The 19,459-nt window shown below is 34.5% G+C and overlaps 1 protein-coding gene across 1 annotated transcript; it reads left to right on the top strand.

The window, feature by feature from the left end:
* The first annotated feature begins 1,772 nt into the window (after positions 1–1,772).
* LUM (lumican) lies at positions 1,773–10,638 on the top strand. The gene is made up of 3 exons (NM_002345.4): positions 1,773–1,869; positions 4,267–5,149; positions 8,948–10,638. The coding sequence occupies exons 2-3, from the start codon at positions 4,288–4,290 to the stop codon at positions 9,100–9,102; spliced, it is 1,017 nt and encodes a 338-aa protein (NP_002336.1). The 5' UTR covers positions 1,773–1,869; positions 4,267–4,287; the 3' UTR covers positions 9,103–10,638.
* The last annotated feature ends 8,821 nt before the right edge of the window (positions 10,639–19,459 follow it).

The following is a 19,459-nucleotide window of genomic DNA, read 5'->3' as shown; positions in this document are numbered from 1 at the left end:
GAGTAGTAAAACATACCATAGGAATTTTAATGTATGAAATTTAAAGGAAGAAATGTGAAAACTCTGAGTATAAATCATGGAATATATTAGATCCACTATAAATGTTAATTTCATTTCTTTCTATTGGACCCTGAAAATATGCTCTGAAACGCACAAAATTATTCAATTATTGGTTTCACAGAACTGATTTTATTAAAAAGTATATGTTGACAAGACTTTACAATGAGCTAAATCCAATATAATGCATTTGAGGTCTGTTATAAATACCACAACACATGTATTGCTTTATAAAGAAAAATCTTAAGGAATGGATAGGTGGAGTTTTTCTAACAAGAGCTCAGATTATAGAATTTGATACACTCAAAATTAATACATAGCATTGTTTTAAGAATCCTCTTATAACAAGATCACTTAATTATATTCGATTGATTTGTCTTTTTTTCTTAATTCCTTATAAATTTATTCAGTTACTTTGTTGAAACTGAGGCCTATCAATAATTTTCTTAAAATAATATTAGGAAAAATGTTATGTTTATGAATCATCTTACAATTCCATTAGTTACTTTCAAGAAGATTACTTTTTGTTTTTGAACACTGCTATTACAAAAATAAGCCATTTATTCTAATAGTCTTTTTTTCGGACAAATGCAGTATTAGTCATGGAGTTAATTTTCCACAAGTCTCACTGCTAAAATGTGATATAGTTATTTTTAAAGACAAAAATACAATGTGACAACTTATATTAAAATATATTGGTGTAAAAGTTCTTATAAACATGAGGAAATGAACATTTTAGAAAAAAATCTCATAAATATATCTGATAAAATCACAAAATGAAATAGACAAGGATTTAAGTACATCTCTCATTTGCTGAAACCATGCATCAGGAGCTGATAATGAAAGATATATCCAGCCAGGCCTTTGGGAGATTATAACTTTGAATAACTTTTAACTTTGAAAAAAAATTACTAGCATGCAATGAAAGATTCTTGCCTTGTGATACTTTTAGTATAAATTTATTTTTTTCTCTGTTCTTTTATGTTTTTTGGCATTAAGCTATAGAATGCTCTCCCCAAGTAAGGTTTTGGGTGAATTCCTAAACGAAATCCACAAAATAAAAAACAGGCAAGACTTTGCTGATTGGTTCCAGACCTGAATAACATAAAATGAGTCTCCTTAGCATTAGAAGTAAACTTGAAATGTTGATATTTATCATGTGTATCCAAGTGTATATGAAGCATATTTTATATTTTTAAAACTAATGTAAGCTACCCTCATGGCCAAAAAATTAAGTTAGTCCAAGTAAATCAATATTGATTTCAAAAGTGATAGGCAAAGGGATTCAATTCCTCTGAGTCTGTTCATTTGCGTTTTCCTGAAATTATTTGCCCTGCTTATGATTTCTGAGATCTTTAGATAAACATGATAGTTGGCTGAGCACATTGCACTTAATTGTTGCCACAGCCACAGATGTAAAGAGGCTTGTAAGAAAAATGTTCTCACAGTGAGCTTCCTTATTTGAAGCAGGACTCAATTCTTGGTTAAAAGCTATGGTATTTGAGCTAGTTAAACACATATCTCTCTCCCATTCCATAGGGAATGAGCTGGGCTGTCCTTTCTCCCCACGTTCACCTGCACTTCGTTAGAGAGCAGTGTTCACATGCCACACCACAAGATCCCCACAATGACATAACTCCATTCAGAGACTGGCGTGACTGGGCTGGGTCTCCCCACCCCCCTTCAGCTCTTGTATCACTCAGAATCTGGCAGCCAGTTCCGTCCTGACAGAGTTCACAGCATATATTGGTGGATTCTTGTCCATAGTGCATCTGCTTTAAGAATTAACGAAAGCAGTGTCAAGACAGTAAGGTAAGTGCTGTTTTAACTATTGCACTGGGGATGTTAACTGTTTGGGACAGCGTTTTTTGTAACAGGAACAGGAAAAATTCCAGAGCAATTTTGCCAATTGCTATTCAACAGCAAATCCACAGTTCTGAGCATTTAGTTTCACATTTTGTTAATATGTTTTCCATGATTTATAGATTTGAGATTTTATACAGTATATGCTGTATTGCTTGGCAAGAGAAGTTATAAAAAGTTTCAAGGTTAGAATGAGAAAATAGTTAAAGTAGACACAGTGAAAAAATATAGAAATTAATATGTTTGTTATGTATGCTAGTTAGTTATATATGTTAGTATTGGACCCTAATACTGGAGCAAAGAAAAGTCATTTTAATCAGCATTCAAAATATCTTTTAATAAGCATATTGTGACAATTTGTTATAATTTACAATAAACGTTCTATGTTATAAAACATGAGCTAAAAGATTTAGGAACTCTTATGGATTATTTATTTCTGTTTTGTTAATTTAAAAAATTTGTTTCTTGGATATATGCCTTAAGGAACGAGTTTTTTAAAAAGTTCTGGGAAATGATTTCGTTTTTGAAAACAGCATTTTCTCTATAGCCACAGGTATTTGAAAAAACTGAGGGTAGTACAGTGTGATTTTGCCTCATAGTGGAGTCATTATATGGTTGCAAACTCTCATTCAATTCAGCATCCTTGTTTTTACTTTGCCAAAAAATATGGAAGCATTTTTCATTACTATTTAATACTCACATTATAGTTGCCATATTTTGGTGTATAGTAAATTTAAAATAGCTTATTAATAAAGCAAGACAAATCTTTACAGTATTTACATTCTATAACTTAAAATAACTCTGGGAATATGTCATCACGTTCTTTTTAGTGCTATGCAATTATTATTATGGCCAAGTTCTGTCAGCAAAATTAAATGCCCCCATTAAAATCTTAGAGAGTAATTTACTGAGAATCTGGCTACATGTTACCTTATGTCAGCAATCAAAGTATTTCTAAAAGCTGTTTTATAACGTTCCATCTGATCTGAAATAAAGTGCCTTACAATTTCAAATTAAAACAAATAAAAGACGTTTTCAGTTTCTAACCCCAAAGATCCTGCTTATCCCAAACTACTTTGATCCAAAAGCTTGTAATCATACTTTCATAGAAAGATATAATATTCTCAGTTATCTATTAGAATGTAGATCTTTCGTCACATTAATGATTTATCTCCCAGGGCTACCAACTTTGCCTCAGCCACAACTGTTCACTCTATAAAAGTCTAACTCTTATATTCCAATTTTCCCATATCTAAATTGCTGCACCTAAGACATTGAAATGTACTTTTTTGAGCCTCACCTTAGAAACATGTTCCTATGAGAAGATAACTGTTACACATTATTTCAAATTCATATTCTCAATTGAATAATTTACTAGATAGTTCTAACACCAGTATTAAATCCAAACTTTAAAAACATCACACCTCTCTCCCACCTCCATTCTGTGAGGCCACTAAAAGCCAGATATGCAAACCATGGCATCTTCGATTTTGGCATGAAGAAAGTAGAGAACTTGTGAGTAATTGAGAGAGACTATAACTCTAATTGAAAACTTGGAAAATACTATCTTTCTCTACCTGTTGAATCTCTTTCCAGAAAGAGAAACCTTCAGAATGTGTGACATTTTCCTGATAAACATTAGCAATTATTAAATATTACTAATATTTTGTTTAGTAAATAGCTAATTTATGAAATATTAGTTCCAGAACACAGTTTTGCAATGTGCTTTAAAAAGTGTAGAATGTTAAGCACAACATGAACTAGTATGCATGCACACCAGCACCAAGAATTCTGTTCTCCTTCCTCAGAACCAACAGTAACCAGACACTTTTAAAGGAATGTGCCTTCCATTTCCCTCCCACATACAAGCAAAACCTCAGGTTGCCCATATTCCCGTAAGGATCTTCTTCATGAGTCATTTTAATGATGTCGAATGGTAGGGTAGAGTATACAGTTAAAAACTGTCTTCTCATTCTCTTTTTTTGAGAGATGATCTGAAGCAGTAGTCTAATTCGGTGGTCAATGAACACCACCCAGAAACCTCTTACAGGAAGGCATTTCATTAAGGAAGAGCCTGGAGATTGACTGGAACAATTAGGCTGGGCTCGCCCAGAAGGGGGCGCACGTGTACGCAATCTAACCTGAAAGCTGCTCACTACATAGTTGTAAACATACACCTTTGTCCTCATACCTAAATAAAAATTTAAAAGACGCTGTTAGATGCACTAAAAATAGCTATAAAATAACAAAATGCACATTTTCTAATGAATTTAATGTTGCAAATTGAATGTCTTTTTCTTGAAAGTATATATTTTTTTAATTAATAAATGTTTCATCTTTATTTAGGATTCAAACCATTTGCCAAAAATGAGTCTAAGTGCATTTACTCTCTTCCTGGCATTGATTGGTGGTACCAGTGGCCAGTACTATGATTATGATTTTCCCCTATCAATTTATGGGCAATCATCACCAAACTGTGCACCAGAATGTAACTGCCCTGAAAGCTACCCAAGTGCCATGTACTGTGATGAGCTGAAATTGAAAAGTGTACCAATGGTGCCTCCTGGAATCAAGTATCTTTACCTTAGGAATAACCAGATTGACCATATTGATGAAAAGGCCTTTGAGAATGTAACTGATCTGCAGTGGCTCATTCTAGATCACAACCTTCTAGAAAACTCCAAGATAAAAGGGAGAGTTTTCTCTAAATTGAAACAACTGAAGAAGCTGCATATAAACCACAACAACCTGACAGAGTCTGTGGGCCCACTTCCCAAATCTCTGGAGGATCTGCAGCTTACTCATAACAAGATCACAAAGCTGGGCTCTTTTGAAGGATTGGTAAACCTGACCTTCATCCATCTCCAGCACAATCGGCTGAAAGAGGATGCTGTTTCAGCTGCTTTTAAAGGTCTTAAATCACTCGAATACCTTGACTTGAGCTTCAATCAGATAGCCAGACTGCCTTCTGGTCTCCCTGTCTCTCTTCTAACTCTCTACTTAGACAACAATAAGATCAGCAACATCCCTGATGAGTATTTCAAGCGTTTTAATGCATTGCAGTATCTGCGTTTATCTCACAACGAACTGGCTGATAGTGGAATACCTGGAAATTCTTTCAATGTGTCATCCCTGGTTGAGCTGGATCTGTCCTATAACAAGCTTAAAAACATACCAACTGTCAATGAAAACCTTGAAAACTATTACCTGGAGGTCAATCAACTTGAGAGTAAGTAAAAAGCTGTTCCTGTGTTTGATGTGTGCTCAAGTGTTTAAATACCTGGGCTGCACAACACAGATATTGCATCTGGCTCCATTAAAAAAACAAAATGTCGCCCGGGCGCTGTGGCTCATTCCTGTAAATCCAGCATTTTGGGAGGCCGAAGTGGGCGGATCACCAGGTCAGGAGTTGAGACCAGCCTGGCCAACATGATGAAACCCCATCTCTACTAAAAATACAAAAATTAGCCAGGCGTGGTGTCGCACTTCTGTAATCCCAGCTACTCAGGAGGCTGAGCCAGGAGAATTGCTTGAACCTGGGAGATAGAGGTTGCAGTGAGCCGAGATCGTGCCACTGTACTCAAGCCTGGGCAAGACAGCCAGATTCTGTCTTGGAAAAAAAAAAAATGTCCACAAAATATCCCTCTACTTCAAACAAAGAATAATTCTAGCTCAATCATATATCCAATATCCAGCCTTTCTTTGGTGTATCCAGATAAGGAACAATTAAGGTCACAGAATTTAATATGTAAGTCTTCAAACTAAAAATTCCGGGCCAACTCATCCTGCTGTGTTACCTCCTCATATATATCTCTTATTATTTTCTCCTTTATGGCTTAGATTTGTGTCCTACATTTATTTTTTGACAAGATCTAGATGAGGGAGGAAGAAATGAGTTCAAAAGTGGCACAGTTGGCAAACTCCATAGCCACAAAGAAGCCCATATTGTCCCTCCCTCCCTCCCTCTCTCTCTCTTTTTCTTTCTTCCTTCCTTTCTTTCCCTTTCTTTCTTTCTTTCTTTCTTTCTTTCTTTCTTTCTTTCTTTCTTTCTTTCTTTCTCTTTCTTTCTTTCTTTCTTTCTTTCTTTCTTTCTTTCTTTCTTTCTTTCCTTTCTTTCTTTCTTCTTTCTCTCTTTCTTTCTTTCTTTTTCTTTCCTTCTTTCTTTCTTTCGTTTTCTTTCTTTCTTTCTTTCTTTTTTTTTTTGACAGGGTCTCACTCTGTCGCCCAGACTGGAGTGAGGTGGTGCAATCTCGGCTCATTGCAACCTCCACCCCCCAGGCTCAGGCGATTCTCCCACCTCAGGCCACCACCACCACCAGGCTAATTTTTATGTTTTTAGTAGAGATGGGGTTTCACCATGTTAACCAGGCTGTTCTTAAAATCCTGACCTCAACTGATCCATCTGCCTTGGCCTCCCAAAGTACTGGGATTACAGGCGTGAGCCACTGTGCCTGGCCCCATATAGTCTCATGGTCTTCCCTGACATCAACTACTTGGGACTCACCATGTTACTCTGCTGTCATGATCATCATCTGCCTCTGTTATCTCTGTTATGGTGTGTGGCCATCACAGTGCTCTGGAGGACTGTGAAGAAGATTAAAGAGAAAAAGAAATATGATGGGAGATTCTAACATCTTTTTTTTTTTTTTTTTTTTTAGAAGAAAAATAGTGTTACAGAGCTTTTTTTTTCTTGGGTACAATCCTGCCCCTCATTTGATATTTCCACACTTTCTCTTTCTCCTCTCTTTATTTTTCATTTATCTTCTGGATGAAGTTTGATCTGATGCATTTGGACTGCTTATGCACTTATGTGGTCTTCAGGGACATTCTTCAACTTAAGCAGTATAGATTCCAATGGGAAATTGAAATCCACCATTTCCTACCAGGATAACTCTGCCATTAATCTTTGGCAGAGCTTGGTAGAAGAGAAAAACCATGATTCACAGATAAGGCTTTCTAAATGAAAAAATCAAGCAGGAAACATTGATTCACATATAAAGTAATAATGTCTGCAAAATAATCTATTGAATTTGAACATCTCTACATGATGAAAATTGGTTTTCTGGCCATGCTGAATAAAGGTATTGCTGTCAGAAAATATTACAATATATTTTATGCATATGATGTTTGTTAATTCTGCCAGTTTCATATAACCTCTAGTAGGGTTAAACGTTTTCATAAAGAAGACCATACTCGCCAACTCTGAAGCTCCACATGTTCTTTGTTGTTTCTGAAAAGCAGCCAAGGTAAGGGTTGGTGCTGTTTGACTGTCACACAATACACAGTCAGGCTAACACAGCTAAACCCCTCTTGTTGTTTCCAGTGGAAAATTCACTATGTGGCCATATGTGATTCCTCATTTTAAACATATGTGGTTAGGAGGAAGGATACTCTCTGACAGACCAAAATGCTAAAGGAATTTACGATGCTTAAGGGATGACGGAGTACATTAGATTTGGTGGGTAGAGATTATTCGTAAGAGCAGGGCTACTTCTTTCTCTGAAACAAAGAAGGATACAGAAGTAGGCACATTTGAAGGTATACATTGCATGAGTAAAGGATGGAAGAGAGGTCTATGGGAGAAAGGCCAACGGCCTGTCAGTGCCAAGCTGAGATAGAAACCACAGTGCCCAGTACATAGTGGTCATTTGAAAAGGTAACATAATAGTTTCCTTTCTTTCTTCCTTATCTTTGTACATTTAGTCAGGTATTCTCCTTGTCTTTTTATGTATCACCTCAGTTTAGGTTATTTTGCCAGATAATAATCAACTATATCAACATTTCACATTCACTTAATACAGAAAGTTCCCCTCAATGTTTTTTTCTAATATTAGGGAATATATAGCCAAAACAAACTGTTTTCTATTTCAAACTTGCAACTCTAAGCATTAGCCCAATCAGAGATCTTCCTAGTGTAGAGTAATTTAGAAAGACAGCAAAATCAAAAGGATATTAGTCATTATTTAGGACATACTATGTACTAGTATTGTGTGAAGTGCTCTACACAACTTAATTTAATCTTCATGCAACACGGTAAGATAGATGTGTTATTTCTAACAAGATCAGATAAGTGTTCCAGTGTTGCCCACCTGGGTAAGTGGCAGAGGTAGAATTCCAAGATGGGACTATGCCCATCTTCTTTCCATTTTTCCTCACTTTCTCAAATGTTGGTACCATAGAAAAATCCCTGGAATTAACTGATGAGTTATTTTAAAAAGCATGTGTGTTTGGGGTTCCACTGAAGTCTTTGTTAACTAGAGTTTGAAAATGAAAACAAGATAAAGGACTTGAAAATGTTAATCTAAAATAGACATAGGCAAACATAGTTTCTGTGTATACACAGGTCAGTCAATTCAGTAACACTCTTGGTTTCTATTACAAAGTAAGTCAGTGTTTCATTTGTGGCAGCTTTTTGACCATGGACAAAAATAAACAAATAAACAAAAACATGAGTTCAGATGGTGGACATGCCATGATTAGGTTTTTGCCTTAGAATTTTGATCATTGCTATGGTGTGTGATTGCTGGAATGATTTGGTTTTTGTCTTGGAATTTTTATCATGGTCATGGTATGTGGTTGCTAGAAAATTCTTTATAGATCATCTAGTTAACCCTTCTTATTTTTAGATGTAAAACCAAAGAGTACTTATACTGAGATTGTTCATACAACAATGGGATCCATTTATATTTCTTCAGGTTATACTATTTCAAAAAAGTTGTTAGATAATATGACACACTTATTGAATGCCTTTTTAAAAACAACTTCTAGTAATAAAATAAGTTCTGTTATTTAAAATATTCCACTGAATATCTTGATCTACCATGATTACTCTTTACTAAATGTTACTGTGCCATTTTGGTAGCCTGAAATATGCCTTTAATGGTTGCAAATTCAAACATATACTATATTATGACTTTTCTAAATGGGAAGAGGTCCTATTTTATAATATATTAAACATAAATTTTTTGTATTGTTTTGAGCCAGTGTACTGAAAAATGATTAATGTTTTCTATTCTTTAATTTTTAGAGTTTGACATAAAGAGCTTCTGCAAGATCCTGGGGCCATTATCCTACTCCAAGATCAAGCATTTGCGTTTGGATGGCAATCGCATCTCAGAAACCAGTCTTCCACCGGATATGTATGAATGTCTACGTGTTGCTAACGAAGTCACTCTTAATTAATATCTGTATCCTGGAACAATATTTTATGGTTATGTTTTTCTGTGTGTCAGTTTTCATAGTATCCATATTTTATTACTGTTTATTACTTCCATGAATTTTAAAATCTGAGGGAAATGTTTTGTAAACATTTATTTTTTTTAAAGAAAAGATGAAAGGCAGGCCTATTTCATCACAAGAACACACACATATACACGAATAGACATCAAACTCAATGCTTTATTTGTAAATTTAGTGTTTTTTTATTTCTACTGTCAAATGATGTGCAAAACCTTTTACTGGTTGCATGGAAATCAGCCAAGTTTTATAATCCTTAAATCTTAATGTTCCTCAAAGCTTGGATTAAATACATATGGATGTTACTCTCTTGCACCAAATTATCTTGATACATTCAAATTTGTCTGGTTAAAAAATAGGTGGTAGATATTGAGGCCAAGAATATTGCAAAATACATGAAGCTTCATGCACTTAAAGAAGTATTTTTAGAATAAGAATTTGCATACTTACCTAGTGAAACTTTTCTAGAATTATTTTTCACTCTAAGTCATGTATGTTTCTCTTTGATTATTTGCATGTTATGTTTAATAAGCTACTAGCAAAATAAAACATAGCAAATGGCATCACTGTGTTTGACTTCTTGTGAAATTTCTGTACTTTGTATATAAAATACATAAAACAATAGATTAGAAATCAAAAGATATCTCTGGCCTGCAATATTTTACTGATGTGAACATAGGATTTTCCACTAAATAATTTGTCTACTTCTAGCATTCACTTACAAAGAGTTCTTAAAAACACCTATAATAGGTACTTAGATTTCACAACTTACTTAGATATTTGTCATTATTCCCATTCCTGGTGTTTTTACTGGTTCATATACAATGGTATTCTATTAGATAAGAAGCTGCTATGTGATCTCAGCACTCACTCCTTGGTTGTCAAGAAATGGTGGATAACTCACAGGATTAAAAATGAATGAATATAAAATTTTCTGAAATAGATATTTAAAAAATCATTTTAGCTTGAAGCCAATATGTCTGGATCATAGGTTTTGAGTTCATAATCCAGTAATAACAGCTTTCAGCTTTCTATGAGTATATACAATTCTATACAATGATAAATACTCTGCATATAATTTATAAAAATAACTTCTGTTTTACCTAGTTAACAATAAAACCTATGTGTGGAGCCAAATGTTATGCAGACAAAGGTCTGCTCATCCCATACCAGTGTATATATAGTCAAATATGTGTCTAGTACAAATAAAATGTATCTCTAAGGCATAAAATGTTTTAACACACCACTTTTAGTGAACTCTATCTTATGGTACAGCGGCCTTTCATCAGAGGATCATCATTGAGACTGAGTTGACTGGCAGATATGTGCGATGGATATTACATTAGGTACAATGTGTATTTTTGATTTTCATGAGTTTTCTACATTAAGGTAAATTCCTTAGAGTGTGATAGCAGCCTCAGTTTATTTGTTGGTTTAAACTTGAAATCTACTTTTTCTCGATAAAACTATAATGTAGATGAATTGAAAATGAATTTTCTTTTCCCTGTCTACAAAAGTCACTATCAAGCCTTGGAAACCTATTCTCAAATAGAGGGTAGATAATGTGCCATAAATTCTCTTTTAGAAAGAATGTGATGGAATTAAATGAGCTTTGTCTCTATACTACTTAGAGGAAACATCTTCTCAGCAGACAGTCTGTCTGCATCTTTAAAAGCCTTTGATTTCTCTCTATCCAAAGTCCTATGTTATTCTCATGCCTAAGAAGCAAAACTATGACTTTTAAAACAGCAGTTCCCTTTGTAGTTAATGTTGGTTGACAAAGACAAAGTTAAGCACTTAGTGACACTTTGTTGTAGAAGCATCTGGGAAAGGAATATACCCTGTTTAGGAACAACTCCTCTTTTTAGAGGGAAGACTTCATCTTTTCAGGGCAAAGCTGGAGAAGAGAAGATTCCCACTTACTCCTTCACTCACTGGGCAGCCCTAGTGAGGTGCTGAGGGAAGAAAATCTGGTGAAACTTTTATCAGCTTTCTCCTCATCTCTCCATCCTCACCCTATTTAGGGTAGTGTTTTTCAAAATGGTAAGTATATAACCAGCCTGTAAGGGTGTATTTCTACATCCAGGTTACCAGACATGCCCCAGATATACAGACGTAATGAATTGTGCAACATAGGATTTTGCATTTTTAAAGCGCATCCACGGGTGATTCTTATACCGGTGCTCAGTGTTGCATATTTTTCAAAACACCGACTTAGTGTGATACTATGATTAAGTTACTGAAATCACAAATAATTAAAAAGCAGAAAAGTACTCTTTTCTAGGGAGGCAGAATAGAAAGTAGCCTGCTTTTCACAGCATATCTATCTATCATCTATCTATCTATCTATGTATCTATCTATCTATGAGAATAAATATTTTTTTTTTCTATATTCTAACTAATTTAAGCTCTCTAGCCCTCTACTTCTTCATCCATAAGCAAGGAATGCAGATACATCTTTCATTAAGATAGCATGAGACACTTCTGCCATGAAACTTGCTTGAGAGTGGCTTTATAACACTTCTTACCCACCTAAGTTCCTTTTCCCTTCAGAGTTGTCCAACTGGTATTCTATCAAGAGAAATGGCTAAGGGTTCACTTTGATGAAATTTTTAAGAAGGTACCCATGGGGAATGTCAACAGCAGGTTGAATTTAAGGCAAGAGATTCTCTCAACTGTCTCACTAACAATAGTGATCTTGATTTTATCTCCTTTTGGATAAAGCGGATAAAGTCCTCCATGAGTGGATTAAAGCAATAATGCATATAAATTCTTTCTTTCCCAAGACTGATGCATTAGAACCTTAACTGTAATCCCTTACTGTGGGGAGAAAATGGAAAAATAAGGAAAGTTCCTTTTTGTTCTCAAGACAAAAATTAGGGTTAACTGGTGCCTTTATGGTGAAGGAGAGCTATAATGTACTCAGGCTTTGAGGTTTGTGAGGAATTATCATGCCCTAATAAGTACAAAAAATACAGATGAATAATAGACCACTAAATGAGCAAGAGGAATGTTGATTTCTCAGTTAAAAGTTCTCCAACCGGTAATAGCTATGTTTTTAGAAATCCTGAAGAGTTTAAAAGGTTGGTTTTCAAAAAGACTAAGAGTTTTTTTTTTCCTTGTGATCTTTTAAGTTTGGGTTCCGGTTTTTCTATAGTTGTAATTTTATCATAATGATAGCCTTAGACTTTTCTTTGGTTGGATTTTAAAACCATCATAAATACTTAACATTCACTCACAAGTAAAAGGAAGTTCTCATTTTATTTAAAGGGAACTGCAAAGTAATTTTACTACCAGAAGTAAAAATATATATAAAAATGGCAATGTTATAAAAAAAAGTCTTGTTTTTTTGAAATATATGAAATGAATCAAAATGCATTAAAAATGTCTAGCAAATTATATTGTTTTTACACACATATTCAATAGATTTTGTTTCCAGATAAGATATAACAAATTGCAATACAACACATGAAAAAAAAAATAGAAATGTCAGCAACATAAATAAGTGAGGTCTCACGCATTCATCCTAATCTCACTTTGATAGCCCTAAAATGTCACTTCTTCTAGTAGCTTTAAAATTTGGATTGGCCCAAAGAGTACCATCTATATTTGTGTCTTGTCCCCTTACAATGCACCTGATGTTCTATTTTTTAAAATGTATGTTCTAAAAATATTCAAGAGCCTTAGTAGTAACTTTACCCTATGGATTGTATTTCAAATAAGCCCCTCTCTAGCCTCACTGCCAAGTCTTTATTTCAAGACTTCCTGAATTTTCACTTAGATTTCTGAAAATCCTCATGTTTTGCCTAACTTAATCATCAAGTGCGTTATTAGAGCAAGTTTTCTGACATATAAACCTGGTCCCATATTATTTATCTGTTTAAAACTGTTCAGTGATGTACCATTGCTTTCAGGATGTGATCCAGGCTCCTCAGAGCAGCACAAAAGGCATTCCAGGACACCAAAGGTCCTTTGCAGTTTTCAAAGGTCCTTTGCAATTTAGTCCTTAGTTACTTCTCTAGACTTATCTCTTACCAGGTTTTGTCAGACTTCATCATGCACTACATTAAGTTGCTTGAACTGTTTCAACCATACTTACTAATTTGCAGCTGCATTTGCTCTGGTGTCTATGAAAACGCCTTTCTTCCTGGAATCCCCTCATGCCCCTTTCACTTGGAAACACATAAACATCTTTTAAGACTCGTCTTAAGCTACTCTAACCCTTCAGCAGAATACCTCCTCTGAACTTTCTCAAGTAGAATTAATATCCTTTATTATAAAACAAACATCTGTTAAAAAATAAAAATCATTTATCAAAGTTTTTTTAACAACTCCCTTCATTCATTGTTCATCCATCTGTACCTTTTCCATTAATTCATTTAACTTTTTAAAAAATAAAGCTTCTACTATACTCCAGAAATGGCTTAGGTGCTGGAGACACTGTAGTGAACAAGACCGGCAAATCTTTATCCTAACAAAGTTGACATTTATAGGGGATTCAATCAGCAGATAAACACACAGTCTATGACATGATGACAGTAGTGATAAGCGCTATGAAGAAATAAATGACCTGAAGGACTATGAAGAAATGGAGGGAGTGGTGATTTTTTTGGGTGATAAGGAAAGACTTGTGGGGAGCAGACCTAACTGTCATTATAACATATATTTGGACATTAATTTAAATGTTACAATACATTAGATAATTCAAGGAATGTTCTTTAAGGATTATTTTAGCTCAAATAATAGTTATAAGGTACATTTCTACTTAGGCATGGAAAAAAACCTGGGTGTAGGATCAGACATGATTTGAAGTGTTGTAACTCTCATTTGAGACCAGATCTCTGTTCTCAGAGTGTATATTATAACTTAGTAACCCCCCGTGGCATTAAGGGGGGCTTAGATGTGTTTACATGTGTGTTTGTAAATTTCCTCATCTTAGCCCTGACAAAACACAGGGCCTGGAAGTAAGTTTTCCAGACGTGGTTGCTGAGTAGCATTAATGGAATGAAGCTGTGGTTGGAAGGAACAAGTTACAAAGGTCAGTCATGAGGCGGGCCTCTCCTGGTGAGCTCCAGCACAATTGCTTCTGCTTTACTCCCTTTAACATTACACAAAACATTGCAATTTACTTTAATCCATGGAATTATCTACAAACATCTATCTATTAAATATATTTTTTCATTAAAGTGTACTTGACAAATAAAAATTGTATATCTTTACAGTGGACAACATGATGCTTTGATATGTGTATCCACTGTGAAATGGTTAAAGCTAATTAACAAGCACATTACCTCACATTCCTATAATTTTCTATTGTGAGAACATTTAAGATCTGCTTTTATTAGCAACTTTCAAATGTACAATACACTATTATTAACTGCAGTTACCATACACCATAAATCTCCCATGCTTATTTATCCTGTCTAATTGAAACTTTGTACCCTTTAACCAACATTTTCCCATCTACCCAGCCCTCACCCTCAGCTCCTGGTAGCCACCATTCTACTCTTTCTGCTTCTATGAGTTTGACTTGTTTTAGATTCCACATATAAGTGACATCATGCAGTACATTTCTTTTTGTGCTTGGTTTATTTCACTTAGCAGAATGTTCTCCACTTTTGTCTGTTATTCCAAAAATAGGACTTCCTTTTTTTATGGTTAAATGGTAATCTACTGTATATGCAGATGTTCCTTGACTTATGATGGTGTTATGTCCCAGTTAACCTGTCATGAGTTGAAAATATATGTCAAAAACACATTGAATACACCTAACCTATGGAACATCATATCTAGCACAACTTATCTTAAATATGCTCAAAGCACTCACATTAGCTACAGTTAGACAAAAATCTTCTAACATAAAGCCTATTTTATAACAAAGTATTGAATATCTCATGTAATTTATTGAATAATGTACTGAAGGTTACAATTGTGTGATTGTATACTCGAAATATGGTTTCTACTGAATGTGTTATCACTTTTGCACCATCATAAAGTCAAAAAATCATAAACCGAACTATTCTAAGTTGAGGACCATCTGTATATACACCACATTTGTATCCATTTATACATGAAGGAACCCTTACATTGATTCCATATCTTGGCTATTTTGAATAATGCTGCAATGAACAGGGGAGTGCAGATAACTCTGTGAAATACTAATTTCAATTACTTTGGTATATACCCAGAAGTGCCATTGCTGGATCATAGGTTAGTTCTACTTTTAATTTTTTGGGAAGCCTCTTACTGTTCTCTGTCATGGCCGTGGTAACTTACATTCTCACCAACAGTGTGTAAGGGTTCCCTTTTCTCCACATCTTTGCAAACACTTATCTTTCAACTTTTCGATAATAGCCATTGTAACAGACACGAGGCAATATCTCATTGTGGTTTTACTTTGCAATCCTCTGATGATTAGTGATGTTAATCATTTTTTAATATACCTGCCGGTCATTTGTATGTCTTTGTTTTGGAAATGTCTATTCAGATTCTTTGCCCATGTTTTAATTGGGTTATGTGTTTCCTTGCTATTGTATTGTACGTTATATTTTGGATAACTCCTTATAAGATGTATGGCTTGGACATCTTTTCTCCCATTTCATAGGTTGTCTCTTCACACTATTGATTGTTACCTTTGCTGGGCTGAAGGTTTTTAATTTGATGTAATATCTATTGCCTGTTTTTGCTTTTATTGCCAGTGCTTTTAAGTTCATATCCTAAAAATATTCGCTGAGACTAATGTCAAGGAGCTTTTCAATCCTGTGTGTGCTTCCAGTAGATTTATAATTTCAGGTCTTATGTTTAAATCTTCAATCCATTCTGAGTTGATTTTTTGTATGGTATGAACTAAGGATCCAATCTCATTCTTCTATATGTGAATATTCAGTTTTCTCAACACTATTAAGAAGAGTCTTCTTTCCCCATTTTGTGTTCATGGCAACTTTGTTGAAACTTAACTGACCATAATATCATGGATTTACTTTGGGGCTCTCTATTCAGCTTCCTTGCCCTATGTGTATATTTTTATGCCAATACCATTTTCTTTTGGTTGCTGTAGATTTAAAGTCAAATAGTGTGAGACCTCTAACTTTTTGCTCAACATTGCCTTGGATATTTGGGATCTTGATTAGTTCTATGCAAATTTTAGAAATTATTTCCTATTTCTGTAAAAAATGTTATTGTAATTTTCATATGTATTGTGTTGAATTTTTTTTGGATAGTACTATGGCTTAAGTGTGTCCCCCAAATTTCATATGTCGAAAACTTAACCCCAAATCCAATAATGTTGGGAGATGGGACCTAATAAGAGGTGATTTGGTCATGGTCATGAGGGCTCTGCCCAAATAAATGAATTAATTTCATTATTGGAAGAAATAGTTTTGTTATAAAAATGAATTTGGCTTATTTTGCACATGTGCATGTGTTCTCCTACCCTTCCAACATGAGATGACACAGCAAGAAGGCCCTCACCAGATGTGAGCGCCTTGACTTTGTACTTTCCAGTCTTCAGGACTGTAAGAAATAAAATTGACATACTTATTTTAATTTATAATTACATTTTTATAAAGTTATTCATTTTTGGTAATAAATAATTTGTTATAAATAAAATTTATAAATATATAAAATACATAAATAAATATATATAAATTGTTATAATTACACAGTTTCAAGTATTTTGTTATAGCAGCACAGGACAGGACTAAAACAGGTGGTACAGACATTTTAACAACACTACATTTTTCCCTATGAACACAGGTTATCTGTCAATATATTTGTGTCTTAATTTTGTTCACTAATGTTTTACAGTTTTCAATGTACAGATCTTTCTCTTCTTTGGTTAAATTAATTGCTAAGTTTGTTTTGTTTTTTGTTTGTTTGTTTTGTTTTTTTTTTTGAGACAAAGTCTTGCCCTATTGCCAGGCTGGAGTGCTGTGGCGCAATCTTGGCTCACTGCAACCTCCGTCTCCTGGGTTCAAGTGATTCTCCTGCCTCAGCCTCCAGAGCAGCTGGGACTACAGGTGTGCACCACCACGCCCAGCTCACTTTTTTGTATTTTTAGTAGAGATGGGGTTTCACCATTTTGGCCAGGATGGTCTTGATCTCCTGACCTCGTGATCTGTCAACCTTGGCTTCCCAAAGTGCTGGGATTGCAGACATGAGCCACTGTACCCAGTCAATTGATAAGTATTTTTGAAGCTATTATAGATGATATTGTTTTCTTGATACCTTTTTTGGATCATTCATTGTTAGTGTATAGAAGTGCTACTAATTTTTGTGTGTTGATTTTTTATCCTGCAACTTTATTGAATTTGTTTATTAATTCTAACACTTATTTTAGTGGAATGTTTAGGGTTTTCTGTATAAAACATCATCTATAAACAGAGTCAATGTTACTTCCTTTTCCCCAATTTGGATGCCTTTTATCTCTTTTTCTTGTCTAATTGCTCTGGCTAGGTCTTCCAGTACTACACTGAACAGAACTGGTGAGAATGGGCATGCTTATCTTGTCTGTTATCTTAGAATAAAAGCTTTCAGCTTTTAACCATTAACTATGATGTTAGCGGTCAGTATTCTATCTTTTTTTCAGAGAGTATTGTCTACCCTCATAACTTGGGATACTGAATAGAGACATATTAATTCATATGAATTGATTTACTCATATTTAATCTATTGTCTCAGCCCAATTTTGTGCTGCTCTAACAGAACACCAGAGACTAGGTAATTATAATAAGCAGACCTTTACTGGCTCACAGTTCTGGGAGCTGGGACTTCCAAGATTGAGGGGCTGGAATTTTTCAAGGACATTTTTGCTTGTTTGTTTTGTATCATCCCATAGTAGATGGGGAAAGAGAGGGAGAGAGAAACAAAAGGAGACCAAACTCATTCTTTTATAAGGAAACCACTCCTGAAACAACAGCATTAATTCCTTCAAGAGGGTGATGACGTCATGACCCACACACTTCCTACTGGGCCCCACTTCTTAACACATTCATATTTGAGATCAAATTTTCAACACAAGAACTTTGGGAGACACAGTCAAACCATAGTATTCACCAACAAATTTTTGGGCTGTATCTTAAAAATATATCACAAATCTTACTACTTACCACTACTGGTCCAATCTACTATTACCTCTATTCTGTATTAATATAGTACCTCCAAATTTATTTCAGAAAATATTCAAGCATGGAATCTTGCAGTTAATTTTCAAACAAAAGTCAGGGTGAGGCTTGAAAAATACAAATCAGCTCATGCCCTGTCTCATCTTAAATACCTGAAATGTCTTCTCATCAAACTTAAAAGCCTTTATCATAACCTCCAAGGTAATGTTCCCTTATTACACTTCTTGCCCACTCCTCTCCAAACACACTGATCTCCCTGTTTCTTGAAAATTCCAAATAAATATCATTGTTCCGGGCTTTTATGCATTTGTCTCTGCCTGTTCCCCAGCTAGTGATATAGTTCATTTCCTCCTTAATTATGGTCTCTTTTCAAAATAATTAGAGTTATTTGCTAATCACTTCATGTTAAAAAGCACCCCATGTTGATCTCTACCCTTTACCTTGCTTTAGTTTTGTTTCTTTGTTTGTTGTAGTATTCATTAGAATCTGACACTGTTTTGTGCACAGTATGTGTGTGTGTATATATTATTCATACTGTCACAATCCAAAGAAAATTCCACCCAAGTAAAGCACATGCTTTTCCTCCCCACAAGATCAATCCATAGTCTTCAGAAATATGCCTGCACACAGTAGGTTCTCAAAACTTTTTTGTGGGATAAAAAATTAATCTTCCATTTATGTGGCACTTTATACTTTGTGGAACAGTTTCACCTATATGTGAACAGTTTCACCAGTATGAAACATCACAACTTTAAAACTGAAACTGAGGAGAGAAAATAATCTGCTAACATGATGTAACCATTGAGATGCAGAAATGAAGCTCACTCTTAACTCTTTTATTGTTGTTAGGGTTTCTAATTAAAAGCAGTGCTCTTGCTACTATACTTTGTGATTTAAAAGAGATTGAATATTTGGAATTATGTTCCTTCTCTGCCTAATTTTTTGAGGTTTTTTTTATGAAGTGATACTAAATTTTATCAAATGCCTTTTCTGCATCTATTAAGAACATCATGTGTTTTTTCCTTAATTCTGTGTATGTGATGAATCATATTTATTGCATATGTTGAACCATCCTCACATCCCTGAAATAAAATCCATTTGATCATGGCATATTTTCTTTTTGATGTGCTGTTGTATTTGGTTTGATAGTATTTTGGTGACAATTTTTGCATTTATGTTAA

The sequence above is a fragment of the Homo sapiens genome, chromosome 12, assembly GCF_000001405.40.
Source record: "Homo sapiens chromosome 12, GRCh38.p14 Primary Assembly".
In the NCBI taxonomy this organism is placed as follows: domain Eukaryota; kingdom Metazoa; phylum Chordata; class Mammalia; order Primates; family Hominidae; genus Homo; species Homo sapiens.
This window is presented reverse-complemented; position numbering and strand designations above follow the sequence as displayed.

Bases quoted from the DNA above. Each gene is read 5' to 3' on its own strand.
- LUM (NM_002345.4), top strand. From the start codon at position 4,288: ATGAGTCTAAGTGCATTTACTCTCTTCCTGGCATTGATTGGTGGTACC. The intron at 5,150-8,947 runs GTAAGTAAAAAG...TTTAATTTTTAG, and splicing joins GGAGGTCAATCAACTTGAGA to AGTTTGACATAAAGAGCTTC.